The sequence below is a fragment of the Homo sapiens genome, chromosome 7 (assembly GCF_000001405.40).
Source record: "Homo sapiens chromosome 7, GRCh38.p14 Primary Assembly".
Lineage (NCBI taxonomy): Eukaryota > Metazoa > Chordata > Mammalia > Primates > Hominidae > Homo > Homo sapiens.
In genome coordinates, this window is record NC_000007.14 from 76,373,786 (window position 1) to 76,387,579 (window position 13,794).

A 13,794-nucleotide genomic window follows, 5' to 3' on the forward strand; every position below is an offset into this window, starting at 1 on the left:
GAGGGGGACAATGGAGTAGAGGTGCCAGAGCATCAAGAGAGTAGAGTGGCTGGGCACGGTGGTTCACGCCTGTAATTCCAGCACTTTGGGAGGCCAAGGTGGGCAGATCACGAGGTCAAGAGATTGAGGCCATCCTGGCCAACATGGTGAAACCTGGTCTATACTAAAAATACAAAAATTAGCTGGGCATGGTGGCACACACCTGTAGTCCCAGCTACTAGGGAGGCTGAGGCTGGGGAGTTGCTTGAACCCAGGAGGCAGAGGTTGCATTGAGCCGAGATCGCGCCACTGCACTCCAGCCTGGCAACAGAGTGAGACTCCGTCTCAAAAAAAAAAAAAGGAGAGTGGAGAGTGGAGTATCCTGGTTCTGGGAGGTCCCCCAAGATCCACAGAAACCCCTGGGTCTTGGGGGGCTGATATGGATGTGGGCTGAAGCCCAGGTTTGAGAAGGTTCACCCTGACATGCTCTGATGGAAGATGCCATGTGCTGTCAATGTAGGAATTCCCCAGGATGAGGCAGGGGCTGGAGAAGGAGGAAAACTACAATCAGAGACCAAAGGTTTCAGGAATCCCACCTAGGACCAGGTGGTTTGGGCAAAGGGACAGCTCACAGAGCCGCAGAACCTGAGCTTTGAGGAAAGGGGTTTGCCCAAGGTGTCTGGAAGGGGCAGCGTGATAGGTGGGGCAGCCAGGACCTTGGGCTTCCACACCTTTCCATCCTGCCTGGGACAGAGGCCCTGACATGCTCTAATTTCACTTGGTAAGCCTGATCTCTGGGCAACACATCCACCTCTGTAAGATGGGGATAGTGTGGGATTCTTGGGCTTCATAATGAGGGAAGAGGAAGCCAAAGGCTTGAACAGACTGGAGCATGACAATGGGATCCCCCTCCTTTGTAATTTTTTTTTTTTTTTTGAGACAGTCTCACTCTGTCCTCCAGCCTGGAGTGCAGCGGTACGATCTCGGCTCACTGCAACCTCCACCTCCCGGGTTCAAGTGATTCTCCTGCCTCAGCCTCCCAAGTAGCTGGGACTACAGGTGCCCGCCACCACGCCTGGCTAATTTTGGTATTTTTAGTAGAGATGGGGTTTTGCCATGTTGGCCAGGCTGGTCTCAAACTCCTGGCCTCAAGTGATCCACCCTCCTCGACCTCCCAAAGTGCTGGGATTAAAGGTGTGATCCGCCCTCCTTGACCTCCCAAAGTGCTGGGATTAAAGGTGTGAGCCCCAGCGGCTGGCCTGTAATTTTTTTTTATCCACTGGCACATGTAGGCAGCAGAGGAGAGGGACCAGGAAGAGCAGGGGCTGCTGTGATTCCTATGGGGCTGGAAGTCCTGAGGCCATTCCTGGGATAGGAGAAACATCAGGGAGGAAACCTTGAGGCAGACAAAACAAATAACAATAGAGATGAGAAAAGGGTAATGAAAAGAAACAGACACACCATGGTGGAAACAGCCCCAGAGAGAGATGAGGATCCAACAGAGAGACAGACAGGAAGACAGATTGCCGGAGATGGAGACAGGCAAAGAAGGCGCTGAGCGCCTGGCCAGGTGCCCCAGACTCATCCCAGAAGCTGCTGGGATGGACCCAACCTGCGCAAGAAAGACAGCTGCTCAGGGAAGGTGGAGGCCACCAGGCCAGGTAGCTGGGGCATCTCTTCCATCTGCACAAACTGCTGCAGAAAGCCCAGCGGGGTGACCCTGTTTCCCCACACGCAGACGGAGGCAGGCCCCTGAAGGGCTTCCTCCAGGGGAGGATGAGGTCGTAAGATGGGGCTGCGTTGGAAGCATGGACTCTAGTTCCAGCTGTGATGTTTGGCAGCCACTGAGCTCCTTGCAGTCTTTTTTGGTTTTGTTTTTTTGGAGACAGAGTCTTGCTCTGTTGCCTAGGCTGGAGGGCATCATAGTTCACTGCAGCCTAGCTCACTGCAGCCTCAACCTCCTGGGCTCAAGGGATCCTCCTGCCCCAGCCTCCCTAGTAGCTAGGCCCAGTTATTTTATTTATTTGTTTGTTTATTTATTTATTTTTACTTTCTGGGACAGGAGATGGATGAGGAGCAGGGGTCTCCCTGTGTTGCCCAGGCTGGTCTCAAACTCCTGGGCTTAAGAAATCCTCCCACCTTGGCCTCCCAAAGTGCTGCAATTACAGGCATGAGCCATCGTGCCCGGCCCACATCTTGCAGTCTTTATTCTCATCTGTAAAATAGGGACAACCAGCCGGGTGCAGTGGCTCACGCCTGTAATCCCAGCACTCTGGGAGGCTGAGGTGGGTGGATCATGAGGTCAAGAGATTGAGACCATCCTGGCCAATATGGTGAAACCCCATCTCCACTAAAAATACAAAAATTAGCTGGGCATGGTGGCACGCACCTGTAGTCCCAGCTAGTCAGGAGGCTGAGGCAGGAGTCTCACTTAAACCCAGGAGGCAGAGGTTGCAGTGAGCTGAGATGGCGCCACTGTACTCTCGCGTGGCGACAGAGCAAGACTCTGTCTCAAAAAAAAAAAAAAAAAAAGAAAAAAAGAACAACCTCCCCAGTTCTCAGTGATTCAGAGTAAGTCTTCACCTGCCCCATAGAGATGGGGACCTGGGTGAGATGGAGGTATAAGGGTATCCTTCAGGTCCAGCAAGAACTTAAGAGTTAACACATGCCTCCTGCACCCAGCATCCTTCGGCGATGGTTTCAATAGTTTGAAAATCCAGCCAAGCAGTTTGAACTGAGGGTGGTGAGTGGTGAGAATAGGTTGTGATCCCAGCTCCCAGGGCTGCATAATTTTTTTTTTTAGACGGAGTCTCACTCTGTCACCCAGGCTGGAGTGCAGTGGCGCGATTTAGGCTCACTGCAAGCTCCGCCTCCTGGGTTCCAGGTTCATGCCATTCTCCTGCCTCAGCCTCCTGAATACAGGACTGCATAATTTTTAACGATCCCACCAGTGAAGGGCTCCTGTCCATCACCACCTTGTCCCCACGCCACTGCACTCCAGCCTGGGCAACAGAGCGAGACTCAGTCTCAAAAAAAAAAAAAAGTTCAGTGCCTATTAGGTGCATAAAATAATGACACATTGGGCCTGGCGCCGTGGCTCACGCCTGTAATCCCAACACTTTGGGAGGCCGAGGTGGGCAGATCACTTGAAGCCAGGAGTACGAGACCAGCCTGGCCAAAATGGCAAAACCCTCTCTCTACTAAAAATACAAAAATCAGCTGGGCGCAGTGGTATGCGCCTGTAGTCCCAGCTACTCAGGAGGCTGAGGCAGGAGAATCACTTGAACCTGGGAGGCAGAGGTTGCAGTGAGCTGAGATCATGCCACTGCGATAGAGCGAGGCTCCATCTCAAAAAAAAAAAAAAAGAAAAGAAAAAGAAAGAAAGAAAGAAAGACACACCAACGGAAGAAGACTAGGATGCAGGATGCTGGGAGAAGATATGGAGGGAGCCCATCTCCCCTTCCCCAGCTACCCAAATCCAGGTCCTTCAACCCCAGCTAAATGCTTGCTCTTCCAGAAGGCTTCCCAGAACTTCTACTAGGCAGGACCTTTTCTTCTGCCTCTGATGCCCATAACATTTCTCCTGCAAGGTCCCCCACATGGTGTCTTACACAAGGCCTAGGAATGTATGTGCATTATATCCCACTAGGCTGTCTCCTTCTGGGTACAGAGTCCACATCCTGTTCATTTTGGCATCCCACAGCAGCAGGGGATCCGAATTTGGTGGACATGTATTTGTTGTGTGTCTTTGAACCTCAATGTAATTCAATGAATGCATACAGTTTTCGAGCCTCAGTTTCCCCACTTGTAAAATGAGGACAATAATTTTCACTTCCCAGTTGTGGCTGGCCAGGTGGATCAAATGAGATATTGCATGCAAAGTCCCCTGGCTCACTGGAGGCCGTTAAGCACTGCGCAGACGTGGGCTGTTACTAATAATACAGCAATCTCGAGACCGGAGCTGGACTCAGAGAGGCAGGGAGCAAGCGTCCCTCTGTCTGCAGCTTCCCCTCCTGCCTGAGAGTGATGGAGGGACTCTCTGAGCGTGAAACAAACCAATGTGGGCAGCCAGACTGCAGGGGGAAGAGAAGAGGGTGAGAGCCCAGATACTCAGGTTCCAAGGCTGCCTCTAGCTCAGGGTGAGTGACCTTGAACAGATTGGTCCCTTCTCTGAGCATCCAGTTTCTGCATCTGCCAAGAAAAAATAATAATCTCTGGCTGGCTGGCAGCAAGAAGATGAGGCCAGGCCCCCCAAGACAATGTCCAAATATTGTGCAGTCGTGGGGCTGCCGTGAGGTCTGCGGCAATCCCTTTGCAGACATCACCCTTTGTCTTCCAAGCCTTCAATGGATGCAGCAGCAGACCCTCTCCCTGGCAGACCGGACATAATTTCTGACCCAGAGTGGTGCTCAAATATTTGTTGAATGAATGAGAAAATAATTAGCCGGGCATGGTGATGCATGCCCGTAGTCCCAGCTGCTCAGGAGGCTGATGCAGGAGGACTGTCTGAGCCCAGGAGTTGGAGGCTGCAGTGAGCTATAACTGCACCACTTCACTCCAGCCTGGATGACAGAGCAAGACCCTGACTCTAAAAAAAAAAAAAAGAAAAGAAAAAGAAGAAAAAATGAGGGGATAAATGAACAAATAATGAAATGGGGCCTCAGGGAGGGAGCTGTATTCTAATTCTCCTGGGCATGACAGCCCACTTTGGACAGGTCAACAATTCATCCTCTTCTCACTGTCTCTACCACTCCCATCAGGGTTCAAACTAGCTTCTCTCCCTGTACTATCATAGCAGTCTCCAAACTGGATTCCCTACTCCTTACTATCTCTGGATTCCCTGTTTCCCTACTATCTCTTCTCCATGGGATACCCAGGGTGATCTTTTAAAAATTCAAATCTGGCTGGGTGCAGTGGCTCACACCTGTAATCCCAGCACTTTGGGAGGCTGAGGCGGGCAGATCACGAGGTTAGGAAATTGAGACCATCCTGGCTAACATGGTGAAACCCCGTCTCCACTAAAAATACAAAAAATTAGCCAAGTGTGGTGGCACGTGCCTGTGGTCCCAGCTACTCGGGAGGCTGAGGCAGGAGAATCACTTGAACCCAAGAGGCAGAGGTTGCAGTGAGCCAAGACCGCGCTATTGCACTCCAGCCTGGGAGACAGAGCAAGACTTCGTCTCAAAAAAAAACCAAAAAGAATTCAAATCTAGCTGGGCAGGGTCACTTGAGGCCAGGAGTTCGAGACCAGCCTGGCCAACATGGTGAAACCCCACCTCTACTAGTAATACAAAAAATTAGCTGGGTGTAGTGGTACATGCTTGTAATCCCAGCTACTTGCAAGGCTGAGGCAAGAGAATCACTTGAACCCGGGAGGCAGAGATTGCAGTGAGCCAAGATCGCACCACTACACTCCAGCCTGCGTGACAGAGTGAACTCCATATCAAAAGAAATCGAAAAATCAAAAAGCCCCAGGGCCCACTCTGGAGACCCTGCACTCTCATGCCTTTGCTGGGGTGCCTCTAGGCAGCTGATCCTGTTAAGCCCTCACTCTAGTGCACAAGTCTGCGAGTGTACAGGAGCCCCTCCCTTTCCAATCCTGGTTTTATTAAAAATTGGTTTTATTATTTTTTTTTTTTGAGACAGGGTCTCACTCTGTTACCCAGGCTGAAGTGCAGTATTGTCATCATAACTCACTATAGCCTTGACCTCCAAGGCTTAAGTGATCCTCCCACCTCAGCCTCCAGAGTGGCTGGGACTACAGGCACGTGCGACCAACTTGAGTAATTAAAAAATTTTTTTTTGTAGAGATTGGGCGAGGGGTTGGGGGGGGGGGGGGTCTCACTATATTGCCCAGGTTGGTCTCGAACTCCTGAGCTCAAGAGATCCTCCCGCCTCGGTCTCCCAAAGTGCTGGGGTTACAGGCGTGACCCACTGCACCTAGCCGAGGCTTTACAATTTTAACAGGCCTCTCTGGGTTACAAGGGTAAAGACCCCTGAAAACAAGAGTAAATACCCCAGCCTAGCCTTGGTGGGAGGGGGCGGGGTTGGGGGGAGAAAAACGCTCTTTGTAAGTTGCGAGTGGCCGCATAGACTAATAAGGTCGCCTTCACGCCAGGCTTGTGGAGGCCCTTCCTGTCCCTTCCTTCCTGTCCCCGCGTAGGCCGCAGGGCTCCGTGCCCAGGGCCCAGTCAGCCCCGCCCATCCAGTGGCTGGGCCCGGGATGTCCCCAGAAGCCCTGAGGAGTGCGGCGCGATGGGCGGGTTCCAGGGGAGGAGGGGGTGTGGCCTACGCCCTCGGCCCCGCCTCACCAGGACTCTGCAACTGGCTGTGACAGGCTGTGCCAGTCGCAGGCTCTCCAATCAGGAGGCTGCCGTGGGGCCAGGGGCGCGGCTCCGGTTCCCACGCGGGGCGAATTCCCTCTCCCGGTAGTCTCCCCAGCCCCGCCCCGCGCGGCTCCCCGCGGAGGCCGTGACTCAGCAGGAAGGCGCGACCAGACTGGGCCGGCCGGCCGGAAAGGCCGAGTCACTCCGCGCCCTTCCCTGTCCCCCGTGTCTATGCCATCGGGCGGGGAGATCTGTGGGCTGGGGTGGGTGTCCCAAGACCTGGTCCCTGGTCTTTGTATGTGATCCAGAAAAACCTCCGAGGCTTCCCTGGCCTTTAGTTTCTCTTCTGTACAGAGGAGGCAACAATAAACACTTGGAGATTTGGGGATAAGACAGTAAGAGTTACAGGAATAGCATGGAGCTTTGGAATTCCACCCTTCAGGGTGCAGATCTCAGCTGTGTGATCCCGTGCATCCGCTCATTGCAGCCTAGAGCTCCTGGGCTCAAGTGATCCTCCTGTCTCAGCCGCCCCAGTATTTTGGATTATAAGCACGTGCCACCACGTCCTGGCTATTTTTTTTATTTCGTAGTGATGGGGTCTCATTATGTTGTCCAAAGTGGTCTCAAACTCCTGGCCTCAAGCCATCCTCCCTCCTCGGCCTCCCAAAGAGTTGGGATTAGTTGGATGAGGTAGCTCACGCCTGTAATTCCAGCCCTTTGGGAGGCTGAGGCAGGCAGATCATGTGAGGTCAGGAATTCAAGACCAGCCTTGCCAACATGGAGAAACCCTATCTCTACTAAAATAGCACATGCCTGTAATTCCAGCTACTTGAGGCTGAGGCAGGAGAATGGCTTGAACCCGGGAGGCGGAGGTTGCAGTGAGCTGAGATCGCTGCCACTGCACTCCAGCGTGGGCAATAGAGCAAGACTCTGTCTCCAAAAAAAAAAAAGAGTTGGGATTACAGGTGTGAGCCACTCTGCCAGGCAGGAGAGACCTAGGAAAACAAAAAGGGCAATTTTCAAAGGCTAGGTCTCATAGCCACTAGACCGGGATAGCTAGACAGTTCTGCGTTTTCAAAAAATGAGCAAAAGTCTAATGGAAAATGGGCAAAGGACTGAATAGACGCTTTATCCAAAGAAGATAAGTGGTCAATAAGCAGATGAAAAGATTCTCAACATAATTAGTCATTAAGATGCAACTGAAGCCTGGGCGCAGTGGCTCACACCTGTAATTCCAGCACTTTGGGAGGCTGAAGTGGGCAGATCACCTGAGGTCAAGAGTTTGAAACCAGCCTGGCCAACATGGCAAAACACTGTCTCTACTAAAAATATAAAAATTAGCCAGGGGTGGTGGCGTCCGCCTGTAGTCCCAGCTACTCAGGAGGCTGAGGCAGGAGAATCGCTGGAATCAGAATGGTAGAGTTTGCAGTGAACTGAGATCACACCATTGCCCTACAGCCTGGGTGACGGAACAGGACTCTGTCTCAAAAGAAAAAAAAGATGTGAGTGCTAACTAAAACCAGGAGATACCACTTCATACCCACTAGAATAGCAAGAATTTTTTTTTTTTTTTTTTTGAGACGGAGTGTCACCCTGTCACCCAGGCTGGAGTGCAATAGCACGATCTCGGCTCACTGCAACCTCCACCTCCCAGGTTCAAGTGATCCTCCTGCCTCAGCCTTCCAAGTAGCTGGGATTACAGACGCGTGCCACCATGCCCGGCTAATTTTTCTATCTTTGGTAGAGACAAGGTTTCACCATGTTGGCCAGACTGGCCTTGAACTCCTGAGCTCGTGATCCGCCCGCCTCGGCCTCCCAAAGTGCTCCGATTACAGGCGTGAGCCACCAGACCCAGCCAATAATTTTTTTTAAAAAATGAAAATAACAAATGTTGGTGAGGATGTGGAGAAACTGGAACCCTGGTGCACTGCTGGTAGGAATGTGAAATGATGAAACCACTGTGGAAAACTAATAGTTCCTCAAAATGTTAAACAGCATTACTCTGAGGTATATACCCAAGAGAACTGAAAACAGATTATCAAATAGATGCTAGAATACAAATGTTCATAGCAGCATTATTCATAATAGTCAAAAGGTACGAATGGTCCAATGTCCATCAGCAGATGAATGGGTAAACAAAAGGTGGTAAATCCATACAATGGAATATTCTTCCACCATAAAAAGAAGTGAAGTAGGCCAGGTGCGGTGGCTCATGCCTATAATCCCAGCACCTTGGGAGGCCGAAGTGAGAGGATCTCTTGAGGTCAGGAGTTCGAGACCAGCCTGGCCAACATGGTGAAACCCCATCTCTACGAAAAATACAGAAACTAGTTGGACGTGGTGGCAAGTGCCTGTAATCTCAGCTACTCGGGAGGCTGAAACAGGAGAATCGCTTGAACCTGGGAGGCGGAGGTTGCAGTGAGCCGAGATCACTCCACTGCACTCCAACTTGGGTGACAGAGTGAAACTCCCTCTCAAAAAAAAAGAAAAGAAAATGTTCTAAAATTAGACGGTGATGGCTGAACACCCTTGTGAATATGCATTTGGCTTTCTGTATCCATGGGTTCCACATTCATGAATTCAACCACCTATGGATGGAAAATATTTTTAAAACAATAAAAAATAACAATATAATAAAAAGTATACAAATATTGGGAGGTCGAGGCAGACAGATCACTTGAGGTCAGGAGTTGGAGACCAGCCTGGCCAACGTGGTGAAATCTCCTCTCTACCAAAAATATAAAAAATTAGCCGGGTATGGTGGCGTGGGCCTGTAATCCCACCTACTCGGGAGGCTGAGGCAGAAGAATCCCTTGAACCCAGGAGGCGGAGGTTGTAGTGAGGTGAGATCATGCTACTGCACTCCAGCCTGGGCGACAGAGCAAGACTCCCTCTCAAGAAAACAAACAAAAACAAAACAGTATAATAATTGTTTACCTAGCATTTACATCATATGAGGTATTATAAGCAATCTAGAGATGTTAAAGTATGCAGGAGGATGGTGTGTTAGGTTATATGCAAATACTACGCCATTTTATATAAGGGACTAGCGCATCTATGGATGTTGGTATGGGAGTGGGGTCCTAGAACCAATCTGACACTCAGGATGCCTCTGTCACTTACTTCCCAATGAATTCTCATCATCTTTAGAATAAAACGCCTCCCTGTGGCCTAAAAAGCCCTCAGTGGCCTAGGCCCTACCGGCTTCTCTGATTCGTTAGCACATTCTTCTTTGCTCCAATCACAACGCTCCGTGGTTCTTCTGCAGGCCAGGCTAAGTTTCCGTTGAAGGACCTGGAATAGCACTTCCCAAACCGTTTCATAGCCAAAAGGTTCATGGCCATCTCCCTCTTCCTGCTCAGGCTCAGCTCAGACCTCACCTCCTTAGAGGCCTTTCCTGACTACCCAATCCCCACCTTATGACCCTGCTTCATTTTCTTTTCTTTTCTTTTTTTTATTAATTTTTTTTTTTGAGACAGACTATCACTCTTGTTGCCCAGGCTGGCGTGCAGTGGCATGATCATAGCTCTCTGCAGCCTCAACCTCCCAGGGCTCAGGTGAACCTCCCACTCCAGCCTCCCAAGTAGCTGAGACTACAGGTGCGAGCCAGCATACCCAGCTAATTTTTTCATTGTTTGTAGAGACAGGAGAGTCTTGCTATGTTGCCCAGGCCGGTCTCCAACTCCAGGGTTCAAATGATCTGCCTGCCTTGGCTTCCCAAAGTGCTGGGATTACAGGGGTGAGCTACTGCGCCTGGCCTTCATTTTCTTTCTAGCAATAATCACTAGGTTAGATGATCTAGTTAATTGATTTGGTCAATGTCTTATTATTTGTCTTCTTTTTTTTTTTTTTGAGGCAGAGTCTTGTTCTTTTGTCCAGGCTGGAGTCCAGTGGCGCGATCTTAGCTCCCTGCAACCTCCACCTCCTGGGTTCAAGCAAGTCTCCTGCCTCAGCCTCCTGAGTAGCTGGGACTACAGGCACCTGCCACCACACCTGGCTAATTTTTGTATTTTTAGTAGAGACGGGGTTTCACCATGTTGGCCAGGCTGGTCTCGAACTCCTGACCTCAGGTCATTCACCCGCCTCAGCCTCCCAAACTGCTGGGAATACAGACATGAGCCACCATGTCTGGCTGTCTTCTCCTCTTGAAGGTCATCTCTGTCGGGCAAACAGGAACCTGGTCTAGGCCTCTTCTGGCTCTGGAGCTCCAGAGGCCAGCATGGTACTTGGCCTAGTACACAGGGCTTCAGAAATATTTGTGCATGTGCTGTATTCACTTGGCAATTTTTTTTTTTCTGAGATGGAGTCTTGCTCTGTCGCCCAGAGCTGGAGTGCAATGGTGTGATCTTGGCTCACTGCAACCTCTGCCTCCCAGGTTCAAGCAATTCTCCTGCCTCAGCCTCTGGAGTAGCTGGGATTACAGGCGCGTGCCACCACACCCGGCTAATTTTTGTATTTTTAGTGGGGACGGGGTTTCACCATGTTAGCCAGGCTGGTCTTGAACTCCTGACCTCGTGATCTGCCCACCTTGGCCTCCCAAAGTGCTGGGATTACAAGTGTGAGCCACTGTGCCCAGCCTCACTTGGCAAATATTATTTCAGCCTCCACTGTGTGTGATACATGTGCACAAAGTTAGGCACAACAGACACAGCCCTAGCCCTCAGCATTCCACTGGGCTAGTATAGCATACAGTCAAGGCAGTAGTTTTTGTTTTTTTTTTTTAGTTTATTATTATTTTTTTTGAGATGGAGTCTCACTCTGTTGCCTAGGCTGGAGTGCAGTGGCACAATCTCAGCTCATTGCAACCTCTGCCTCCCGGGTTCAAGCAATTCTCTTGCCTCAGCCTCCCAAGTAGCTGGGATTATAGGTGCCTGCCGCCATGCCTGGCTAATTTTTGTATTTTTCATAGAGACAGAGTTTCACCATGTTGGCCAGACTGGTCTCCAAGTCCCATCCTCAGATGATCCGCCCACCTCAGCCTCCCAAAGTGCTGGGATTACTGGTGTGAGCCACTGCACCCGGCCTAGGCAGCAGTTTCATGAAGTGCAAGGGCGAGCATGGTCACTGGGGAGGTACAGAGTGGGATGAGAGCTCCCAGTTCATACCAACAGGGAGTGTCCATGAAGACCATCTGGAGAAAATGAAAGCTGAGACTCTAAGTTAAATAACAGTTGGCTTGGCTGGGTGTGCTGGTGCTCATCTGTGGTCCCAGCTACTCAGGAGGCTGAGGCAGGAGGATTGCTCGAGCCCTGGAGTTCAAGTCCAGCCTGGGCAACATAGCAAGACCCTGCCTGTATTTTTTTTTAAACGGCTGGGTTCAGTGGCTTGGCTGATGCCTGTAATCCCAGCACTTTGGGAGGCCAAGGCAGGTGGATCACTTGAGGCCAGGAGTTCGAGAGCAGCCTGGCCAACATGGCAAAACCCTGTCTCTACTAAAAATACAAAAAATTAGCCAGGCGTGGTGGTGCATGCCTGTAGTCCGAGCTACTTGGGAGGCTGAGGCAGGAGAATCGCTTGAACCTGGCAGTCGGAGATTGCAGTGAGTCGAGATCGCACTGCTGTACTACAGCCTGGGCAACAGAGTGAGACTCTGTCTCAAAAAAAAAAAAAAGTATATGGGAGGATGTACATAGGTTATATACAAATTCTACATAAGTTTATGTCAGGGACTTGAACATCCTGGATTTTGGAGTCCTTAGAGGGTCCTAGAATCAATCCCCCTGAGGAGGCTGAGACATAATTGTACTTTGCTTAGATAGGAAAGAGATTCCGGGGACGGGAAGCTGTGAAGTTTCTCTGGACAACAGAGAGCACTGAAGTGAGTGGTGGCTGGAATGGCTATGACTAGAGCAGAATCCCTGAATGTGGGCTGGGCACAATGGCTCATGCCCATCATCCCAGTATTTTGTTTATTATTATTATTTTTTGAGACAGTCTTGCTCTGTTGCCCAGGCTGGAGTGCAGTGGCGTGATCTTGGCTCACTGCAACCTCCACCTCCTGGATTCAAGCAATTCTCCTGCCTCAGCCTCCGGAGTAGGTGGGATTACAGGCGCTCACCACCACATCCGGTTAATTTTTGTATTTTTAGGAGTGACGGGGTTTCACCATGTTGGCCAAGCTGGACTCGAACACCTGACCTCAAGTGATCCGCCAGCTTCAGCCTCCCAAAGTGCTGGGATTACAGGCGTGAGCCACCGTCCCCAGCCATCAACCCAGTACTTTTGGAGGCAGAGGCAGGAGGATCCACTTTAGCCCAGGAGTTTGAGACCAGCCTGGACAACATGGTGAGACCCTGATCTCAATTTAACAAAAAAAAAAAAAAAAAAAAAAAAGAATTTCCGAATGTGCTGGAGACCATAAGGCAGCTAGAACATTCCAGTCCCTCTGCCCCAGCTCCTTGAATTCTTAGCATTTTCATCTTTCATTTCTCCAGGCCTCGGCCGGGCACGGTGGCTCACGCCTGTAATCCCAGCACTTTGGGAGGCCAAGGCGGACGGATCACCAGGTCAAGAAATCGAGATCATCCTGGCCAACATGGTGAAACCCCGTCTCTACTAAAAATACAAAAACTAGCTGGGCGTGATGGTGTGCGTCTGTAGTCCCAGCTACTCGGGAGGCTGAGGCAGGAGAATCACTTGAACCCAGGAGGCGGAGGTTATAGTGAGCTGAGATTGCGCCACTGCACTCCAGCCTGGTGACAGAGCGAGACTCTGTCTCACAAAAAACAAAACAAAAAACATTTCTCCAGGCCTCATCCTCCGATGACACAGCTCAGAGAACTCCCTGACAAATGGAGACAAAGTCATGACTGCCCGGAGCCGATGGAGTTTGGAGCCAAAGTGTCCACCTCACTCCCTGGCTGAGAGCCATAACCCCAGTTTGGAGCCTGTTGGAGGCAGAATACTGGCCCCTAAATATTCCTATACCCTAATCCTTGGAGTTTGTGCATATGTTCCTTTACGAAGCTAAAGGGATTTTGCAGATGTAATTAAATTAAGGATCTCGGGATGGAGGATTATCCAGGATTACGTAGGTGGGCCTAATATAATCACAAGAGGACTTAAAAAATGGGGGAAGGCAGACATAGAGTCAACAAAGGGAGATGAGAGACCAGGCAAAGTGGCTCACGCCTGCCATCCCAGCACTCTGGGAGGCTGAGGTGGGAGGATTGTTTGAGGCCAGGAATTTAAAACTGGCCTACGCAACATAGTGAGACCCCCCTCTCTGCAAAAAACTTTTAAAAAAAATTATCAGGGTGTCATGGCACACACCTATTGTCCCAGCTACTCGGGAGGCTGAAGTGGGAGGCTTACTTGAGCCTGGGAGGTCGAGGCTGCAGTGAATCATGATTGTACCACTGCACTTCAGCCTGGCTGACAGAGCAAGACTGTCTCAAAGAAAAAAAAGGGACTGGGCATGGTGGCTCACACCTGTAATCCCAGCACTTTGGTGGGTCCAGGTCAGCGGATCCCTTGAAACTAGAGATTC

At 50.6% G+C, this 13,794-nt stretch overlaps 4 annotated features.

The window, feature by feature from the left end:
* Window positions 5,817–6,430: an enhancer, noted in NCBI's record as "H3K27ac-H3K4me1 hESC enhancer chr7:76008919-76009532 (GRCh37/hg19 assembly coordinates)". NCBI's record gives its function as "activates a minimal SCP1, AML or CMV promoter by ChIP-STARR-seq in primed H9 embryonic stem cells {active_cell/tissue: H9 hESC(primed)}" and the evidence as "EXISTENCE:reporter gene assay evidence [ECO:0000049][PMID:30033119]".
* Window positions 5,817–7,044: a biological region, named in NCBI's record as "H3K27ac-H3K4me1 hESC enhancers GRCh37_chr7:76008919-76009532 and GRCh37_chr7:76009533-76010146".
* Window positions 6,158–6,637: a silencer, noted in NCBI's record as "silent region_18314". NCBI's record gives its function as "represses an Ori minimal core promoter by ATAC-STARR-seq in GM12878 lymphoblastoid cells {active_cell/tissue: GM12878}" and the evidence as "EXISTENCE:reporter gene assay evidence [ECO:0000049][PMID:35858748]".
* Window positions 6,431–7,044: an enhancer, noted in NCBI's record as "H3K27ac-H3K4me1 hESC enhancer chr7:76009533-76010146 (GRCh37/hg19 assembly coordinates)". NCBI's record gives its function as "activates a minimal SCP1, AML or CMV promoter by ChIP-STARR-seq in primed H9 embryonic stem cells {active_cell/tissue: H9 hESC(primed)}" and the evidence as "EXISTENCE:reporter gene assay evidence [ECO:0000049][PMID:30033119]".